Here is a 22,396-nt window from a genome sequence, read left to right as displayed (position 1 = left end):
TGTCTGGAAATTTCCAGAGCCTCCCGTTGCTGGTAGAGGCCCAGAAGGTAGGGGGCATTTGTCTGCAGATCAAAGGTGAGGGTTCTGCTCACCCCATTATCTTGGCCGTGTTTGCACCCTTGAGTTTGAGGGTTGGATGTCCTGACTGACTGTGCCATAGGAGGGTATGAGACTGAGGGTGTGACAAAGCTATAGGCTGTGGGGATGATGTACATAGGGAGCTTCCCTGCTGCCTGTGGCAAGAGTAAAGAGTGAAATGCTTGGGGCAGGGAAGAGACAACAAAAGTCTACAGAATCTATTGTCCCCAGATCATCTCCCATGGTAGTCCAATCATGGCCTAACATCCTTAGCTACCAATTGCGGAGGAGACTCTGCGCATTTGTGTTCATGTGGCCTTGGATGTTGGCAGATTCAGATTGGTGCCCCAGGCACCTGTGCCTGTAACTGCAGTTTCAGCAGGCTCAGGACTAGGCTAAAGAGCCTCCAAGCTTCCTCCAGTTTCCTGGTGCATGCATGTGCAATATGCTCCCCTGGCCTGGGTCTTTTCTGCCTCTTCTTGCCAGTTGGGTCAGAACTAGCTTATTAACCAGTGTTTTCTGAGATTTAATAGAACTGGCTCAGACCAGTTGGAGACTTGAAAAGGGCTATGTGATAGTAATAGATTTTTAAAGATACATTATTATTTTAGAGTAGATTTGAGTGTACAGCAAAATGGAGTGCAGAGTCCAGAGTTCCCATATGCCCTCGATTCCTGTACACTCTTGGGTCGCTCCACCAATGACCTCCTACACCAGAGTAGAATATTTATTATAGTCAGTGAACTTACATTGACACATCATCATCACCCAGAGCAATACTCTTGGTGGCACACATTCTAAGGGTTTGGAGAAATGTATAATGAGAATGAAATGTATAATGAATGTATCATTATAGCTGTTATGATATCCTGCAGTGTATTTTCATTACTGTAATAATCTTGTGCTCTATTTATCCTTTCTTTTCCTAACCATTGGAAACCACCAATCTTTTCATTCTCCATAGTTTTGCATTTTTCTGAATGTTATATACTTGGAATCATAGCGTAGATAACTTTCCAGATTGGCTTCTTTCAATTAGTAATATGCATTTAGTGTGTAATACACAGTTAGTAATAGCTCATTTCTTTTCAGAGGTGATTAATACTTCATTTTCTAAATATATCACATTTGTATTTATCATTAAGCTACTTAAGGACATCTTGGTTCCTCCTAACTTTTGGCAGCTATTTTAATAGCTGCTATAAACATCTGTGTGCAGGTTTTCGTGTAGACATAAGCTTTCTGGTCATTTGGATAAAGACCTAGGGAGTGCAACTGCTGGATCACATAGTAAGAGTGTGTTATAGTTTTGTAAGAAACTGCCCATATTAGGAGAGTCTTTAGAATGGTAGAAGAGAACGTGTTCACATACTGAGAATCAGTCCCATGAAGGAGGTAGAACTTGAAAATCCAGAAACAATGACATAACCATGAGAGCTGTTAAAAGATACAATTAGGCTCTTTGAAACATTAGGAAGTATATTTGAGCATTCGGAAATGTATAAACCAAGCAGCCTGAGACTGCAAACATCCCAGAGCTCCAACAGAGAGGCTTAGGGAGGGTGGGGGAAGGCTTTTATATGGTGAATATGAAAGAAAAAGAAAATACTTGATTGGGGAAAGTGCAGCAGTGGCCTCATTTGGAACATTACGGTGGAAAGTCTCTGGTTAGATGATAGTTGGTGGCTTGATTGGTTAAGCTTAAGTTTCCTTTTATTATTTAATTGAGTCAAGTTTTGGTTTGTTGAAGGAGGAACTGAGCATACTGGAGCCACCTCAGCCTCATAGCCATCTGTTTATTTGATCATTTTTAACAGAGAAGATCCTTTTAAAAATATCTGTTGCCCCACCTGGAGTGTGGTGGTGTGATCACGGCTCACTACAGCCTCAACCTTCCAGGCTCAGGTGATCCTCCCACCTCAGTGCTCCCCACCCTGAGTGGCTGGGACTACAGGCATGTGCCACCACACGACCATGCTCAGCTACTTATTTGTTTGTATTTGTTTTAGAGATGGGTTTCCCTAAGGTGCTTAGGCTTGTTTCAAAATCGTGGGCTGAAGTAGTCTGCCTGCATTGGTCTCCCCAGGTGCTAGAATTATAGGCCATCTAAACCTTTTATCTCAGATTTGCCTTGTGAGAAAAGGAAAGGTACTTTTTCTGATATGATGAGTCAGAGAAAGATGAGGTGGTTGCATCCTGTGCATATTAGTTTCTTAGGTGATGGGAAGATGATCGGCTCTTGCCTAATGGGATATATTTTCTCCTTGAATGATATGGCAAGATATTCAGGTGAAAGAAGTAGAATAAAAGTTAGAGGAACATAGAAAAGATTGGTTATACATGTTGGGTTTCTGAAGAAATGATGTCATTGGAGAAACAAAACTTTTATTGATTTTTGGAAATATTTAGGGCCAATTTGTTATGTAAGTAATTTGAATTTATGATGACACCTCTGACCACTTTTTGATATTTTTCTGGTTCAGCTGAGTGGTGTCATTGAGCCAACACAAAGTGGTGCTCATCCAGGGATGAGATTTTGCCAGAGAAAAGACAAGCATTGAGTCAGGGAGCTTAAAGTAATTAAGAGAAAGTGACTATCTAAAATTGCTTAGGTAGGAGAGAGATTGGATTTTTGTGTATTTGGTATTTGGGAGAAGAGGGGTGTGGGTATGTACATGAGATGTGTTGTTTATTCTCTTAAGAGAGAAAATGAGGGGATTAATGGACTGTAGTTCTGGACAAGGTGGAAAACTCTTAAAGTGGAAGTATTGGTGCAAGTGCTGTGACAGGCTGGAATGGTGCAGTCAGTCCCTTCATCCATAAATCAGTAGAATATTAGCAGTTCAGACTCAAACCTTGTAAAAAATAGGTGGAGAAAAGGAAGTCCCTCACAGTAACTGGCACCATAATCAAGACAGAATGTTTCTAGAATAAATGGAGTTATCTGCTTTCAGCTCCAGGTTGTAGCTATTCTCTGCCCTGATGACATGCGATAATAATTTGTGATCCTGATGTCTTAAAATGGGGTCACTCATCTCCAGTAGAATTAAGTCCACAATGAAGTTGTCCCCTCATCCCCAAAGAGATAAACATATATGATTGGACTGAGACGATAACAACTACTGCTGCCTGGGATCATGAGAGACCTGAAACGAACTGATAGGAAGTGAAAGGTGGCTGAGAAAATGAGAATGGACCCATCTGCATAGGATCATGAAGCCAGCAAAGATAAGGTCTTGTCCAAGATGCCTTCAGAAGCTTTGTCCATGAGAACTCTAAGGACTTCTCCATACCTGGTGGCTGCTGCTGTGATCTCTGCCCAAAAGGAACCTCTGACCAGTATCTAAAGGGCTTCTGGACCCACTGGACTCTTCTGGAGGCACATTGGTCTCCCGAGTCATTGTTGTGGTTTTTTACTCCCTTTATTACTGCCTGTGTGTAGAATGATATTGCCTAATTGATTATGTGAATAACTCTTGATACATGGTACATCTGAGCATATGTAATTGGCTGCCATGTCATTGTGAAACCTCACAGCTTCACTCAGTGTCAGCACAGCTAGGCAGCCTGCACCTAATGCAAATATCAGTGGGCATAGTCTGCAGGCACCTAATGACTCAGGAACTTTGACAGTCACTAAGAGTGTATCTCCAAGGAATAGTCCAACAACACATGGCTGGCCTGACCCAAGGTAACTATATGTCCAATCCAGGGTCATACTGAGTGGACATCTGCCAAACACAGGTCATTCCCCCTGCCTGCCATTGAGCATTCAAAAGTGACTGGTGTAAGCAGACATGAGTGAGCTTGTTCAACTCAGTATTTGCTTCTTCCGATGGAATCATACTCAGGATCTAGGTCATTGTGCCTTGTTGGAGTCCTACACATTTCACTTGTAAATTATATTTGAAAATTAAATTACCATGTTGCTAGTCATTCACAAAACATTTTTAAAAATTGCATTCTAGAACCCGTGTTAACATCCTGTGACCTGTAGAAAACAATAGAGAAACGTATTAGGCAAAAAGTTCTGGCAAAGACCAGTCTGATACTGGCCTGATTACTCAACCTCAGGCATTGGTCACATTAACTCACAGAGCTAACAAAAATAAAAAGTACTAGTCTTGTTACTCAAGACATTAGGAACTATCAATTTAGATAGATAAAAGATTTTACCTAACAAAATATTATAATGTCATCCTGAAGAATATGTCCCTCTTCCAGAGAACCTAGGAGGTTATCATCATGTCTGGAAAGCCCGACCAGCAATAACAGTGAAAGTTACATAGCTGCCTGAGTGCAGAAATATAATCTCTACTGAAAATAAGTTTTATACTAGGCACAAATTTCAAGACATCCATAGAATTTTTGCTCACAAAGTCAAATCACATGTACAAATTCCATATGGTTTAGAAGTTAATGGTGGTAAATTCATTATGCTTAAGGGAAGCAAAGTAGGACAAATGATTGGAATAGAAAATAACTCCAGGATTCATGATGAATTAATTGCTAGAGCACAAAATATCCAAGACCTTCATGACTTATGCTGCGGATGGGTAACAGAAGTTGGATGAGACAATACCCAAAAGTGATTCCCAGGTTTACCTAAACTAAACAATGGAAGACTGTAGGAGATGCCATTAAGATATCTCATGAATATGGAAGATTATTATTCACTTTTGATGGGACAGGACTTTATAGGGCACCTGGAAAAATTCTCATGAAAAACGACTTTTACAAAATGTCAAGTTATGATATCCAAGATGAAACCAGTGAGTCACAACATTCACATAATATACTGTACAACCCTGATCTCTTGACTGTCATCAAATGTTTCTTACCTCTAAACCAAAGTTTCACTTAATAATTTAATTTTTCTCATTTTTTCTGTCCTCTCAGCTTAAGAAAAGATCATTACAAACTTTTTTGTATGTTTTCATATATGCTTGCAAAGGATTGTAAAATTTTATTGTGATTATTCTTGCTTTAAGCCAAAACTTCCCTAATCTTTCTTTAGAGATTGTGGAATGGCATGCTAGTTTCCTTTCCATATCCAATTGTTTCTTCTGTATTCATTACCCTAGCTATATGATTATGTCTTTTGAACCTCCCCTGCAGCTAGGTGTGGTCTTGTGACTAAGTTTTAAGCCAATAATTTGTAAGCACTGTGCTATGAGTACCTTCTAAAAAACCTTCCTTCTTCTTTACTCCCTCTACCCTGTTGTCTGGAATGAAGATCCAATAGCTGGAGATCAGTAGCCATCCTAGGTAAAGCAGGCAACATGGTCTGTTAACTCCCTTACTGGAAGATAAGTTTTACAAGAATAAGAACCTTGTTTATGTTGGTCCAAGCAATAGCCCCAGAACTTACATACAGTGTGCGGCATGTTTGCTAAGGGCTCAGGTACTAAATAGGTATTGAATGAATGGATGAATTAGTTTACTTTGGAGCCATAAAGAAACAAGGTCTCAGCTCATTTCACAGAATCAAGCTCCTGATTAATTCAAATCACAGTACTCCAACTTATTTCTCTTTGCTCTCTCAGACTTGCCAATGTCATGGTAGGATAGGATTTTTCTTAATGTACTTCAATATTGTCTTCAACCAAAATGTTTTAAAATCTATTTTCATAACAATGCTTCCCAATATTTTCCTGTTTAGAGAGTTTAAAATTCTTCCTTTTTAAAGTCATGGATATCTGTGGGCCGGGTGCAGTGGCTCGCGCCTGAAATCCCAGCACTTTGGGAGGTCGAGGTGGGCAGATCACGAGGTCAGGAGCTCAAGACCAGCCTGACCAACATGGTGAAACCCCGTCTCTACTAAAAATACAAAGATTAGCTGGACATGGTGATGTGTGCCTGTAATCTCAGCTACTCAGGAGGCTGAGGGCAGGAGAATCACTTGAACCCAGGAGGCAGAGGTTGCAGTGAGCCAAGATTGTGCCACTGCACTCCAGCCTAGGGGACAGAGTGAGATTGTCTCAAAAAAATAAAAAGTAAAAGTAAAGTCATGGATACCTGTTTTTGAGTGTGTCTGTTGTTAAGTGCAGGCACTATTTTGTAACTTTAAATAGACATCATCTCAAGTCAACAAAAATTATCCAAAATGGTATCTAATGATATTTCTAGGTCTTCAGATGCTATTAACGCAGATTGTAGCCACTAGGTCCTGAGGGTTTTACTAGATATTGGTTACTGAAACTGAACTTTCTTGAATTCTTTTTTTTGCCACTGTGGCTTCCCACATTTCAATGTATCACCTATTTTTGTCCTCGAACTTAAATATTTTCAAGAAAATTAAATTACATATGAATCATCCCTTCTTCCCTGATTTTTGAAATTACCCATTGCTTCCTATGATGATGATTCTTCTAGTCCTTTTTGTAGTGAACTTATGTTAGAGTTTGTAAATATTCACACATTTTGGAATTTCATATAATTTTCTTCTTCTTTTTTCCTCTTCCCCGAAAGTTGTTGTTACTTCTTTTAACTCTTTGTGGGAAAAATTAAACCCATGTTTCACTTTTTTGATATACTTACTGGTAATTGAACTCCTTGGTTTATGCTCAAATTGCTTTTCCAGTTATCCACTTTTAGGGAAGACATTATTTGGGTTTTGTTTAGTGTATCAAGCTTTTTTGTTGTTGTTGTTAGATGTATCAAGAATTGTAGACTTTTCTATACATAGCATCCTTTTTCCCACAGTAGTTTTTTGAAAAGTCTATTAAAATAGAGGTCATCAAAAGATCTCTTCCTAAACCTTTCCTCTACCAGAAATATCTCTGGAATGACATGGTCCTTTCTCCCATCTTGCTTTTGTAGAAGTCCAAAGCTAATCTGCCCTGATCCAGATTGCATGCACTTGTGCCTTTTGAGGGCCCTTCTGCATTTGTTCTTCCTTCTCTTCTAAACTCAAAAATGTATTTTCTCTGTTGACTCTTTCCCTTTAACATAGAAGTATACTCATCCTTTTTGTTGAATCTTGGAATAAAAGACTTTCTTTACCATATTTACCCTTTAACTACTACCTACATCTCTCTTCTCAGCCAAATACTTGGAAAGAGAAGCCCTCAGTTTGTGTCATTGTTTTCTCACCTCCAGTTCAATACTTTACCCATTACCTGACATCCAGCTCACTCACACACACACAAGCCCAATCACTAAGTTATCATAGCCAATTTGTAGCTTTCCTGCCCTCCTGGCAACATTTGACTCTGCGCATTGAGATAATACATGTTGAGTACCTATTGACCAGGCACTGTGTTAGGTGCTGCTGTTATAGAAATGAAAAGCAGACATCATCTCCTTTCTAATGACTTACAGAGGCAGCCATTCCTGATTTATATGCAGGTCTGTTGACTCCCAGTGCTCACTTTGGCAAGCTTCACTTAATGCCGTGGAAATCACCCTATTCTCCAGGTTTTTTTTCCTCCCAATTCTTCTTACTGTACACAACTTCTCAAGGTAATCACTTCCATGACCATGGCTTCAGTTGCATTCTCTATTCTCTGAGGACAATAGAATTTTAAATGTTTTGTTTCATGTAGTAGCTTTATTTTATACAAGGTGCCTCATTTGCTATAACCATAGATTCAGAATTGCTCCATGAAAGTAATAAATGAAAAATGGTGATATTATTAGCATGCAAATTTTAGAAAATTTCCCCAGTTACTCTTAATGGTTTGATTTAGTATGTGTGTTATTTTTGAAAACATATGTTGGGATGTCACAAATGAACTTAGCCTACAGAGATTTATATTCAACTTTTGACCATAGAATTCCATTTTATGTGACACTGAGAATAAAAAACTATCTTTTCCTCCTTACCTATTTCACTTCCTACATTCTCTGCCAGGAGGAAGGCACTGCTACATACCCAGTCTTCCCCAGCAGAGCCTGAGCAGCTCTGTTTTCCCTCTACTTCCCCTCTTCTTTCACATCTCTTGACCACACACTTCCTATTCCATCTCTGAAATGATCGGAAAATTTTTCCTCGACTTTTGTCACTGCCACTGCCTTTATCATTATTCTTCTTTTAGATAAAGTCTCTTAATTGGTCTTGTTACTTCCTTCAGTCCTTTCTTATTATACAGACCACTATACCCACATCTGACAGAGACTCTTCACCTTTGTATGGTTCAGTGACTCAAATTTTCAGAATAAAATTAAAACCATCCCAGCATCAAATTTGGGGTCAAATAGAGGTGAGTCTGTATCCCAGGTTTATACCCTGTCCAGCAGTGTGGTCTCAGACAACTGAACTCCTTAAGCCTTTGTTTTTGTATCTGCCTATGAGCATTAAGAGTTAGGACTGTTTTGGTCTGGCGCGGTGGCTCATGCCTGTAATCCCAGCACTTTGGGAGGCTGAGGCAGGCGGATCACAAGGTTAGGAGATCGAGACCATCCTGGCTAATACGGTGAAATCGCGTCTCTACTAAAAATAGAAAAAATAGCCCAGTGTGGTGGCAGGCACCTGTAGTCCCAGCTACTCAGGAGGCTGAGAAAGGAGAATGGCGTGAACCTGGGAGGCGGAGCTTGCAGTGAGCCTAGATCGCGCCACTGCACTCCAGCCTGGGTGACAGAGCAAGACTCCATCTAAAAAAAAAGAAAAGATGTGAAAGGACTGTTTCACACATACAGTGCCTGGCATGTAGAAGGGACTTAATCAATGTTGAATGAAGGGGAGGCATTTTAAAATCCACATCAAAAAAAGGTTTTTCTTTTAAAAATGTACTAATCTACTATGTCACTTTCCCTCCAAGCTTGACTTCTACCTTTACTTTCTGATATGGTTTGGGCATGTCCCCACCCAAATCTCATCTTGAATTGTAATCCCATAATCCCCACGTGTTGAGGGAGGGACCCAGTGGGAGATGACTGGATCATGGGGACAGTTTTCCCCACGCTGTTCTCATAATAGTGAGTGAGTTCTCACGAGATCTGATGATTTTATACGTGTTTGACAGTTGCTCCTTCACACGCTCACGCTCTCTGGCCTGCCACCATGTAAGAAGTGCCTGCTTCCTTTTCCACTGTGATCGTAAGTTTCCTGAGGCCTCCCCAGCCATGTAGAACAAGAGTCAATGAAGCCTCTTTCCTTTATAAATTACTCAACCTTAGGTATTTCTTTATAGCAGGGTGAAAATGGACCAATACACTTTCTGATAATCACACTTGAGTAATTGGAGAATTCATACTACCTGGGATCAAATCATGGCCCCAGCCTGAGCAGTCGTGTGACCTTGGGGAGATAACTTACCTCTCCATTTCAATGTCTTCTGTAAAACCTGTAAAATGAGATTGTTCTGAGGGTTAAATGAGCATAGCATAGTTAGAACACTGTCAGGCACATACTGATTGCCAGATATTGAATATTCATCTTTATTGAATTAGGACTGTGGTACCCCACTTTACAGCTCTCTATTTTGTATGACAAAATCATGCTTAATGCTTTTTAGTAAAAGAGAGAAAATCTGAAAGTCCTTGCCATGGAAGGAAGAAACAGAGGGTAGAAAAGGGAGTTGGTAAGTTTCAGCATTTCAGAACTTGGAGGGACAAGTTAGGTTTCTATTTTATGGAGAAGGAGGTGGAGGCAGGATGGGTCCTAAGGTGTGATTCAAGACACACAGCCATAATTCTTTATTGAGAGTAGAGCTAGGGCCCCAGGGACCGCTATGGTCAAGTTGCAGACAAAAACTACCACTCATTGGAAGACAGGAGAGGAATATTTAGTTACAAAAGCAGTCAACAATTCAGGTGTGTCTACATTAAGTCAGCAAATAAAAGTTGTTCAACTTGGTTGCTAATGGGACCCACTCTACTAACTGAGGGTTTGTATAGAACTCATAGAGGAAGATGGCTTCAAGTAAGGAAACACCTTATGCTTTTCTTAGGACTAAAAAGCTCAGGAAGCTGGTGATGAATGAAAATCTTAGTCCCACTGGCACTGCATGAGGGGCCAGGAGAGCAGCAGCAGCATAAGTCACAGGGTGGGGCAGCCCAGGCAGGGACATTTTGAGCTGTGGGGGAGGGGTGGCAGCCAGGGTGGGGCACTGTGAGGTGTCGGGGAGGGCACTGTGAAGTGTGGGGCGGGGCATTGTGAGCCACAAGCCTGGGCTCCCACCTGGGCCAGTGGGCTTCAGTCTGTAGGTGACTGCAGAAGGAGGAGGAGCTCCATCTGTTCTCTCTTCAGGCAGTTGTTGTGTGTCTCAGCGCTTGTTGGGTTCACAACCTATTAAATAAGCCGGCTGGTCTTCACCCTCCCAGACAAGTCAACTCAGGGGAGTCAGCAGGGCACGGGCCTTGGCCCGCAGCCCCAGCTGGGGCCATGCCTGGGCTGTGAAGTGGGCAGGCGAGCAGCAGGCAAGACCATCTCTGCAAGTGCAGCATAGCCTCAGCCTAGGGCAGCGGGAGTGTGTGGCCCAAGCTGTGAGCAAAGGCACAGATGGTGACAGGAGTAGAGGCACCCCATGGGAAACATACTGACCTGTTGTGTGTGCCCCAGGGCCAGCCCTGGGTTGCACCAGCACCAGGGATTGGTGTGTCACTGTGAGTCTGAGATCTATGAGGCAGCAGCTGGGGACCTGATAGCAGGAGTGCCTGTGGCTGCTGCTGTAGAGCCTGGTGAGGTGACTTTTGTAGCTGGTGAGGGCCTCCACATGCACCACATCTGTGAACGGGAGATGCCTGAAGGTAAGGAGGTGACAGGTGCCTTCTGCCCTCGGCATACTTCTGGCTGCTGCTGTCCCCAGGGTCCTCTGGGAGGCATCCCCCACCTCAGGCTCCTTTCTGCCTGTAGCCAGCTATCCTAGGCCTGTCCAGGAACAAAACCTGGCTTGCCTTGCGTTCCCACCCCTTAGTCTTTCCCCAAAGACTCCAGTTAGTTTATTTTTTCCTTCCCTCCAAAACTCCCAGTTCTTGCTCCCTCATCTCATTCTCCCCTTCTGGCATGGGACCATTTATTTATGGCTGTTCTTGTCTGTAGCTCTATTTAGTATCCTGTGGGACTTTGTTGAGGCTTCTTTGGAATATTCTCTCCCTTTTCTCAATAAAAACTCAAATATCCCAACTTTCCAGTACCCATCTCATTCTCTTTATACCTATCCAGGTGGTACCTAAGTGAAGGAACCAGGTAAGTGCCTAATTGTTTCCTTTGTTAAAGTAGCCAAATCTCAGGACAATTCATACTGAAATATTTGGGGATTTCTTATTTAAAATCAGAATGCAGGTTGCCATAGGAGAGACTATATGGGTTGCTTTAAGTCACCTGGATAGAAGCTGCTTAGTTTCTTCTAACTAAGTTGAACACAGAAGGAAAGAAAATGGAGGGTGCTTAAAATAATTGGGAAAGGTGTGAAATGTCATGGCTAGGGCTGCAGAAAAATGGGTGTGGGGGGGTTCCCCCAAAGGAGTGTACCTATGAGGCTCTGATTACTTTAAAATTCTTACTTTAACACAAAATGTGTCTGCAGATTTATTCTGGCGACTTAACAGACATTATTTACCTCCTCGTTCTAAAAGAGAGGTGGGGATGATTCGTGGTCAAAACTTTCAAAAGACATAAAACGTAAACGTAGACTTTGAATGTGTAATATAAAGATTGAAGGTTAAAATGTCAGACCTTGCCTGTGTAAGAGTGTTTGTTGCCATGGCTTCCCCTTTGTCCTTCCCCCTCCTGACAATAACATCTTGTTCAAAGATAAGAAACTTAAGAGTTTTTCAGTCTCTACACTGCTGGGAGAGGCGGGGGATGGGAGGGGGTAGAAAAGAGAAAACACTTAGTTGGTTTGCCTCTAAACTTTTGCAAAGAGGTGAATCTAAGTAAAAAGAATTCTGAGTAACAATATGGTTCTTGAATAAAAACTAAATTTTTACAAATAGAAAACATTGTATCATAAAGATATTAAATCCACTGGCTCTTTGGTTTCATTTAAATGCCAGAGATTTATTACTGTAGAGGAAATGTCTTATAGCTCTTCTATTTAAACTTTGATTGGGCTTCGTGTAGCCAAGACAATCCTAAACAAAAAGAACAATGAGAACACATGGACACAAGGAAAGGAACATCACACACTGGGGCCCATCGGGGGTGGGGGGCAAAGGGAGGGAGAGCATTAGGACAAATGCCTCATGCATGTGAGGCTTAAAACCTTGATTATGGGTTAATAGTTGCAGCAAACCACCATGGGACATGTATACTTATGTAACAAACCTGCATGTTCTGCACATGTATCCCAGAACTTAAAGTGAAAAACAAAAAAAAAACAAAAAAATAACAACTTTGGTTGGGCTTTTATTTTTTTCAGAGGTAGAATAATTAAGACTCATGATGTGTGACTTTGTAACTTGGAGTACTATACTCGCTTTTCAAGATATTAAAGAATTTAAACAAATATGTGAATTAATTCATTATACTTTTATACACAAAGCATGTAAGTACTTGTGTAAACATACTCCACTTGGTGGTGTAAGGAAAGCCTCTGAGTGATTTTACACACCAGTTAATAGACGGGTAGTGTTGGATGAGAGCCCAAAAAAGGCTCTTTATTGTCATTCTTTAGGATTACAGCACAGTTTATGTATGTCTCATTTGGCTCTTTGCAATACAAATAAAGGCCTATATGTGTTCTCCCTACATTTTGCTAATGAAGAAATGAGGACTTAGAGATCTCATGTAACTATGGAAGGCAGCTACTCAACAGAACTAAGGTTCTGTGTCCTCAGAATGACATGGAAGAGATAGATATGCTGAATTTACTTTTTTAAAATTTTAAAAACTCCAGATTACATCTTATATTTTGCCTATAAAATAGACCTGTCTTTTAAAACATATTGCCATCTTGTTTTATTCTATGCAGTTGATTTTACACAACTTAAAGGCAAATTTACCTTTTTTTTTTTTTTTTTAAATGAAGGAGGTTCTCACCATGTTACTCATGCTGGCCTCAAATTCCTGACCTGGGCTCAAGTGATTTTCCCATCTCCGCCTCCTGAGGAGCTGGGACTACAGGCCTGTGCCATCTTGCCTGGCTCTATCTTATGTCTATACATTCATTTCAACGGATAAGGATAAAAGTAGAGGTAGTGAAATAGCCTAAATGCAGCAGTCAAATAAATGAGTTGATAAATTTTTATAAATGATCACATCTTTTTTTCTTCTCTCCCTCTATAGATATACCTTTGGAGCCCAACCCTTCTGACCATCCAAAGGCAAGCACAATATTCCTGAGAAAATCTCAAACAGATGGTGAGACAACATTGTTTTTTCTGCCAAGAAAAAGATCGAAAACTCTTGTTGTTTGATCAGATGTATTATAGAAAGTATTTAGAAAAACTCATATTGGTTTAATTTTTTGAACTTTTCACATATTCGCTTGTCTTATTTTAATATGTGATATACTTTTTTTAGTTGTTACTGTGTTAGTGAAATCATGTAAATTTTTTATTTATACATTTTGCCATCTTTTTATCAACACAATTTGTCATGTGATGGAGGAGTCATAGATTTATCTTTATTTATAATTCTTTGCCCCTTTTTCCTTGCTCCTAAGGGTGCATTTTAAAGATAGAACTTAGGCTTCAGCTTGGTTTCCATTTAAACAAATAAAAAAAAAAAAACTGTTGTTCATCAACAGAGATTGAATCTGTGATTTTGGCCTCCTCTTGCACAGTCCTCTGATCACATGCATTTATCACATCCAAGTTTATACTTCTCGGAACTTTTAAGTCATTAACCTTGTCATCTGATGTAAATTTAAACATGCCCTACTTCTGCTTATTTTCCTTAATGTTATGTTAAATCCTTGTTTGTTTGCTAAAAAGCCATACACAGCCAAGTTTTCCAGTTGATTTAAGCAACAAGAATACAAGTGAGGATCTATATTAATATGGGAAGTAATGCAGTGCAGTAAATATGGGAGTTTATAACTTTTTTTTTGTAGTTTTGAGTAGACTTTGCCTGTCTTGAGTAAGTTATTTCTGGTTAGAATTTGTGTTCATTTTTGTGTTACTATAAAGAGGTACCTAAGGCTGGGTAATTTATAACAAAAAGAGGTTTAATTGGCTCATAGATCTTCAGGCTGTACAAGCATGGCTTCAGCATCTGCTTCTGGTGAGAGCCTCAGCAAGCTTACAATCATGATGGAAGGCAAAGGGGAAGCAGGTGGTTCCACACAGTGAGAAGGGAGGGAGAGGCAGGTAGAGGGAAGGTGTCACACTCTCTTTTTTTTTTTAATTTTTTATTTATTATTATTATACTTTAAGTTTTAGGGTACATGTGCACAATGTGCAAGTTAGTTACATATGTATACATGTGCCATGCTGGTGCGCTGCACCCACTAACTCGTCATCTAGCATTAGGTATATCTCCTAATGCTATCCCTCCCCCCTCCCCCCACCCCACAACAGTCCCCAGAGTGTGATGTTCCCCTTCCTGTGTCCATGTGTTCTCATTGTTCAATTCCCACCTATGAGTGAGAATATGCGGTGTTTGGTTTTTTGTCCTTGTGATAGTTTACTGAGAATGATGATTTCCAATTTCATCCATGTCCCTACAAAGGACATGAACTCATCATTTTTTATGGCTGCATAGTATTCCATGGTGTATATGTGCCACATTTTCTTAATTCAGTCTATCATTGTTGGACATTTGGGTTGGTTCCAAGTCTTTGCTATTGTGAATAATGCCGCAATAAACATACGTGTGCATGTGTCTTTATAGCAGCATGATTTATAATCCTTTGGGTATATACCCAGTAATGGGATGGCTGGGTCAAATGGTATTTCTAGTTCTAGATCCCTGAGGAATCACCACACTGACTTCCACAATAGTTGAACTAGTTTACAGTCCCACCAACAGTGTAAAAGTGTTCCTATTTCTCCACATCCTCTCCAGCACCTGTTGTTTCCTGACTTTTTAATGATTGCCATTCTAACTGGTGTGAGATGGTATCTCATTGTGGTTTTGATTTGCATTTCTCTGATGGCCAGTGATGATGAGCATTTTTTCATGTGTCTTTTGGCTGCATGTGTCTTTTGGCACTTCTTTTGATAAGTGTCTATTCATATCCTTCACCCACTTTTTGATGGGGTTGTTTTTTTCTTGTAAATTTGTTTGAGTTCTGTGTAGATTCTGGATATTAGCCCTTTGTCAGATGAGTAGGTTGTGAAAATTTTCTCCCATTTTGCAGGTTGCCTGTTCACTCTGATGGTAGTTTCTTTTGCTGTGCAGAAGCTCTTGAGTTTAATTAGATCCCATTTGTCAATTTTGGCTTTTGTTGCCATTGCTTTTGGTGTTTTAGACATGAAGTCCTTGCCCATGCCTATGTCCTGAATGATAATGCCTAGGTTTTCTTCTAGGGTTTTTATGGTTTTAAGTCTAACGTTTAAGTCTTTAATCCATCTTGAATTGATTTTTGTATAAGGTGTAAGGAAGGGATCCAGTTTCAGCTTTCTACGTATGGCTAGCCAGTTTTCCCAGCACCATTTATTAAATAGGGAATCCTTTCCCCATTGCTTGTTTTTCTCAGGTTTGTCAAAGATCAGATAGTTGTAGATATGCGGCATTATTTCTGAGGGCTCTGTTCTGTTCCATTGATCTATATCTCTGTTTTGGTACCAGTACCATGCTGTTTTGTTTACTGTAGCCTTGCAGTATAGTTTGAAGTCAGGTAGTGTGATGCCTCCAGCTTTGTTCTTTTGGCTTAGGGTTGACTTGGCGATGTGGGCTCTTTTTTGGTTCCATATGAACTTTAAAGTAGTTTTTTCCAATTCTGTGAAGAAAGTCATTGGTAGCTTGATGGGGATGGCATTGAATCTGTAAATTACCTTGGGCAGTATGGCCATTTTCATGATATTGATTCTTCCTACCCGTGAGCATGGAATGTTCTTCCATTTGTATCCTGTTTTATTTCACTGAGCAGTGGTTTGTAGTTCTCCTTGAAGAGGTCCTTCACATCCCTTGTAAGTTGGATTCCTAGGTATTTTATTCTCTTTGAAGCAATTGTGAATGGGAGTTCACTCATGATTTGGCTCTCTGTTTGTCTGTTGTTGGTGTATAAGAATGCTTGTGATTTTTGTACATTGGTTTTGTATCCTGAGACTTTGCTGAAGTTGCTTATCAGCTTAAGGAGATTTTGGGCTGAGACAATGGGGTTTTCTAGATATACAATCATGTCGTCTGCAAGCAGGGACAATTTGACTTCCTCTTTTCCTAATTGAATACCCTTTATTTCCTTCTCCTGCCTAATTGCCCTGGCCAGAACTTCCAACACTATGTTGAATAGGAGTGGTGAGAGAGGGCATCCCTGTCTTGTGCCAGTTTTCAAAGGGAATGCTTCCAGTTTTTGCCCATTCAGTATGATATTGGCTGTGGGTTTGTCATAGATAGCTCTTATTATTTTGAAATACATCCCATCAATACCTAATTTATTGAGAGTTTTTAGCATGAAGCGTTGTTGGATTTTGTCAAAGGCCTTTTCTGCATCTATTGAGATAATCATGTGGTTTTTGTCTTTGGTTCTGTTTATATGCTGGATTACATTTATTGATTTGCATATATTGAACCAGCCTTGCATCCCAGGGATGAAGCCCACTTGATCATGGTGGATAAGCTTTTTGATGTGCTGCTGGATTCGGTTTGCCAGTATTTTATTGAGGATTTTTGCATCAATGTTCATCAAGGATATTGGTCTAAAATTCTCTTTTTTGGTTGTGTCTCTGCCCGGCTTTGTTATCAGGATGATGCTGGCCTCATAAAAGGAGTTAGGGAGGATTCCCTCTTTTGCTATTGATTGGAATAGTTTCAGAAGGAATGGTACCAGTTCTTCCTTGTACCTCTGTTAGAATTCGGCTGTGAATCCATCTGGTCCTGGACTCTTTTTGGTTGGTAAGCTATTGATTATTGCCACAATTTCAGCTCCTGTTATTGGTCTATTCAGAGATTCAACTTCTTCCTGGTTTAGTCTTGGGAAAGTGTATGTGTCTAGGAATTTATCCATTTCTTCTAGATTTTCTAGATTATTTGCGTAGAGGTGTTTGTAGTATTCTTTGATGGTAGTTTGTATTTCTGTGGGATCGGTGGTCATATCCCCTTTATCATTTTTTATTGCATATATTTGATTCTTCTCTCTTTTTTTCTTTATTAGTCTTGCTAGTGGTCTATCAATTTTGTTGATCCTTTCAAAAAACCAGTTCCTGGATTCATTAATTTTTTGAAGGGTTTTTTATGTCTCTATTTCCTTCAGTTCTGCTCTGATTTTAGTTATTTCTTGCCTTCTGCTAGCTTTTGAATGTGTTTGCTCTTGCTTTCCTAGTTCTTTTAATTGTGATGTTAGGGTGTCAATTTTGGATCTTTCCTGCTTTCTCTTGTGGGCATGTAGTGCTATAAATTTCCCTCTACACACTGCTTTGAATGCGTCCCAGAGATTCTGGTATGTTGTGTCTTTGTTCTCGTTGGTTTCAAAGAACATCTTTATTTCTGCCTTCATTTCGTTATGTACCCAGTAGTCATTCAGGAGCAGGTTGTTCAGTTTCCATGTAGTTGAGCGGTTTTGAGTGAGATTCTTAATCCTAAGTTCTGGTTTGATTGCACTGTGGTCTGAGAGATAGTTTGTTATAATTTCTGTTCTTTTACATTTGCTGAGGAGAGCTTTACTTCCCTTTCTCTCTTAAACTACCAGAATGAGAATTTGCTTCTTACCATGGGGATGGCACCAAGCCATTCATAAGGAATCCACCACCATTACCTAAACACCTCCCACTATGCCCTTTCTCCAACATTAAGGGTCATATTTTAACATGAGATTTGGAGGGGGGAAAATATCCAAGCCATGTCAGAGTTGTTTTTCCCAGTTCCTTCCAGAGCTATGGGCTTCTCACACATAGAGAGCATAGAAGAGGTAAAAACAAAAGCTATTTCATGTCCCTCACTCTTCAGTGGTAGGAATGTTTGCCTGCAAGGCCCTTCCAGCATCAAAGGTGGAGGCGGTGTAGGAAACAAAGCATGGCCCAAGTCCTCTTGGAGCTTTTATTATGCTGGCCTTTTTTTTTTTTAGAAAAAAATGATTTTTTGTGCTGCGGACACCATGTCCAATCAGGTTTGTATAGTCATTTTAAAATTTAAATTTAAGATAAGTTACTTTCCAGTTGTTTTGTTTTTAGTGACATATTAGTAGATGATCACTAAGTGTGGTTCGAGATGCTTACAGGGATTCTGGTGCATCCAGAGATAGGTGCCTGGCCAGAAAGTAGTTCTTAGAGCTGTTAACTCTCAGATTCTGGCAAATAAAGTAAGCTATGTGTAAATGCAGAATGAGAAAATACTCATGGCTCATATATGCAACAGTTAAATTTTTTATTAGCTAACTTTTTCATCTGTCCCCATTTTTTTTTTGCCCTTTTCTTTTGTGCACAAGGATTCTTTCATTTGTGTGTAACAGAAACAAAAAGTAAACTAGGTCAAAAAGTAAAACTAAGTTATTAGATTTTACTCTATGAGATTTATCATGCCAGATAATTTAAATATAAATTGTTGAAAGTAATTTTTTTAAATGGAATTTTTCCTCATTTAGGAGTAATTAGTAAGACATTAACTACTACTCTTATTTTATGGTATTTTTATCAGAAGTGACCATTTTCTTTTTCATTCTTAGTACAAGAAAAAAAGAAAAAGCAACTATGCAAAGCATGTACGTAAACAGTCAAAAGGTTAAGAAATTGATAGTTTGATATAAAAATATGTCTCTCTTGATTCCTTGAAATTATAGTGGGGACCCTGTGGTGATAGCACGGACCTCTTTTTGTATTTTCCTAAGTATAAAATTTATTCAGAGAAGTCTTCAGCTTAGAAATTTTAAGAATTTCTGACATTTAAGTTAAATTTCAATACTCTGGTTGTGGTACAAAGATCTGCCTTAAATATTTAATCATATTCTTAATCAAATAACAAAAATAGAATAGCTAAGAATTAACAAATAACAAAATAACAAATACAGAGTAACAAATACAGAGTAACAAATAACAAAAATAGAATAGCTATCAGCACTGTCTATTGACTTTGTCATAGCGGGTGAAAGCATACCTTCCTCACTACACCATGACCTTATTTTTCTCCCTCTGTTTCTTCCAATTGTAGCACACTTTTTAATTAAATCACTAATATTTACATGATTATCACTATGCAAATTCTATTCACTGCTAAGTCATATGATGTTTTCACTGTGCCTCTGCATTATATGTCCTTCATTCTTTCTCTGAAACAGTTCTGAAATCTGAGCATTTCTGTACTTTTTCTGGATCATCTCTTTTTCCCTAGCCTATGTTACTTTACCCAGCCAAATGCAGTAAGTAGCCCCTGGCTGGTCTGTTTGCTTTCACATCCATTTTTTTTTTTTTAGCCTGAAGCTAATTTTCTGACTATATTCATTTGCCTGTTTTCTAACAGCTGTTTTCCCCCCAAGTGTTGCTGCATTTATCACATGCCTTTCAAATATACTTTCCATCTGCTAAAACACATATATTCCTTTTTTTTTTTTTTTTTGCCAGGGGTGGGGGGTAACTTTCTTTGGCATTTTGTCATCCTAGTTCAATACAGAGTGGCTTTCCCTAGATATGCTCAATGTCTGCTTTTCTGTGCTAGCTCCTTGAAGTCTTTTGGGATCTCACATAACTGCCATCTTGTGTGGGATCACCTGAGTCCTAGATTCTGTTTCCTTCTGTCCTGTTATCCTCACTAGTTGTACTTGAGCACATTTTCCTGGGCAGAGATGTTTAGGGATCTGGCCAGTCTTAAAATCCCTTCTTTTTGATACAGAGCAAACTTCTAGGTTGAATCTAAACTTTATGGTTCTGAAGATATTTTGCAATTGTGCAATCATTACAGTGTTGTTCTTGACTCTGTTGCCATTGTGAGATACATTATTTGTAACCAGGTTTTATGTCTCTGTGGAAGCTTTTTAGCAGCTTCTTTCTCACTGAGATTCTGAAATTTCATAACAGCTTGGTGGGAATCTTTTCATTTTATTGAGGCTACTAAGTCTGAAGACTATCTCTTCTTGAGAATTTTTTTATTTTCTCTGTTCTTTTTTTTCTGATAGTCTTGTTATTCAGACACTCAGCTGCTTAGACCAGTATACCTGCAGTGGTTTTTAATTTTTCCCCTTCGATTTTTCAGTTTCTGTGACTTTTTACTCTAACATTTCTATTGAATTTTATATCTTTTTCAGAGTGTTTTCAGATTTTTTTTGTAAGTTTTGCTCCTGATTTTGACTGGTCCCATGAATCCCTTTTTTCTGTTGTTTTGATGTCTCTTGTTGGAGGCTTCCCTCCAATGTGTGGTGGTCCCTGGCTTTATTTGGAAGCTGGACTTCTGTTAACTGGTGGCACTCAGTGTGAGGTTTTGGAAGCCAAACTAGCTTTTCATTTGTGGGACTTCAGTGTATTATCTGGGGATCTTTATTCGAGCCAGTTCAGTTTCTTCTGAGAAAGGATCTCCCAATTTTCTTCCTGGGAAGTAAAAGAATGGCTACTTGCTTTCCAAAAGCAGAATTAGGGAAGCAAGTTGGAGTTCTATTTTTGGTGTACAGTTTTCTTTATATCTCAGTTTTACGCCGTGGTATTTCTGAACCTAGAAATTCTCAGGTTTGGTATATCCAGAGAACACACATCTAAGTTTCTTATCAGATGGGTCGACAGGTGGCCTTGGAGTTCTAACCACAGATTTTCTGACCTTGCTGGCTTTTGTTTTATGTTTTACCCTACTTTCCAAAGTTCCATTTGCCTGTAAATTCACAGCCTGCCTTTAGTTCTACAAGACAAACTGGCTTGCTTCTCTTCCAGTCGCTTTCTGTAGGGACCAAAGTTGTGCTTCTGTGTTATTTACCACTCCTTTATCTACTTTTTATGACCCAGCATTTATTAAAAATCATCTCTGTCAACGTTCTCTCTTGATCCTGTGTGTAACCTGTATTTTATGTATGACTAACGAGACTTCCAGAGGCAGAGGAAATAAATCTGTGGCCAATCTATTATACTTAATCCAAATTTGGGACCTATATTTACATGTGAATCAAAGTTTAATTTCAATATAATTAATGGTATTAACCCAGACAATTTTTTTAGTGATGTATCTATAATAAGCATATTATACTTTTCTCCTAAGGCCTTATTTAATATTTTTATTCAAACTTTCACTGCCATATTATCCCAATACCTCACAACATAGATGGAGCTGTTTTCATGAATGCCCAAAGTGTTAGAAATATTTAAGTTAATTAAAATTTGTTTATTTTTAGCCTGGTCAACATAGCAAGAGCTCATCTCTACAAAAACATGTACCCTAAAACTTAAAGTATAATAATAATAAAATTTTAAAAAAAAGTTAAATAACAAATTAGCCAGGCTTGGTAGCATGTGCCTTTAGTTTTACCTACTCAGGAGGCTGAGGCAGAGGATCGCTTGAGCTCAGGAGTTTGAGGCTGCAGTTAACTATAATTGCACACTGCACTCCAGCCTAGGCAACAAAGGGAGACCCAGTCTCAGAAAGAGAAAAAAGTTATTATTTAAAAACATTTCTAAAATTTGTCCTGCTAAAAAGGAGAGAGGAAAACGTAAACTTGAGTTTTCATTTTATTTTATATTTGCTGAGAGGAATGCCGTAGTTTATTTATTTATATATTTTTATTTCCATAGGTTTTGGGGGAAACAGGTGGTATTTGGTTACATGAGTAAATTCTTTGTGATGATTTGTGAGATTTTGGTGTACCTGTCACTTGAGCAGTATCCAGTGAACCCAATTTGTAGTTTTTTATCCCTCACCCCCGTCCCACCCTTTTCCTTGTGTCCCCAAAGTCCATTGTATCATTCTATGTATTTGCATCCTTATAGCTTAGCTCCCCCATATGAATGAAAACATAAGATCTTTAGTTTTCCATTCCTGAGTTACTTCACTTGGAATAATAGTCTCCAATTCCATCTAGGTTGCTGGGAATGCCATTAATTTATTCCTTATTATGGCTGAATGGTATTTCTTAATCCATTTGTTGATTGATGGGCATTTGGGCTGATTCCATATTTTTATAATTACAAATTGTGCTGCTGCGAACATACATGTGCAAGTATCTTTTTTGTATAATGATTTCTTTTCCTCTGGGTAGATACCCAGTACTGGGCTTGCTGGATTGAATGGTGGGCCTACTTTTAGTTTTCTAAGGAATCTCCACACTGCTTTCCATAGTGGTTGTACTAGTTTCCATTTTTACCAGCATTGTAGAGAAGTGTTTTCACCTTTTCCACACCAACATCTATTATTTTTTGATTTTTT

At 39.2% G+C, this 22,396-nt stretch overlaps 1 pseudogene across 1 annotated transcript in view; it reads left to right on the top strand.

Moving 5' to 3' along the window:
* The window catches only part of CCNYL2 (cyclin Y like 2 (pseudogene)), a 64,067-nt pseudogene that overhangs the window by 7,308 nt on the left and 34,363 nt on the right, over positions 1–22,396 (top strand). The window contains exon 3 of the transcript NR_103829.1: positions 13,250–13,324. The product of NR_103829.1 is annotated as a cyclin Y like 2 (pseudogene) (transcript). The remainder of the gene's footprint in view (positions 1–13,249; positions 13,325–22,396) is intronic.

The sequence above is a fragment of the Homo sapiens genome, chromosome 10 (assembly GCF_000001405.40).
Source record: "Homo sapiens chromosome 10, GRCh38.p14 Primary Assembly".
Classification (NCBI taxonomy): domain Eukaryota; kingdom Metazoa; phylum Chordata; class Mammalia; order Primates; family Hominidae; genus Homo; species Homo sapiens.
The sequence above is the reverse complement of the archived record's forward strand: the minus strand, read 5'-3'. Positions and strand labels throughout refer to the sequence as shown.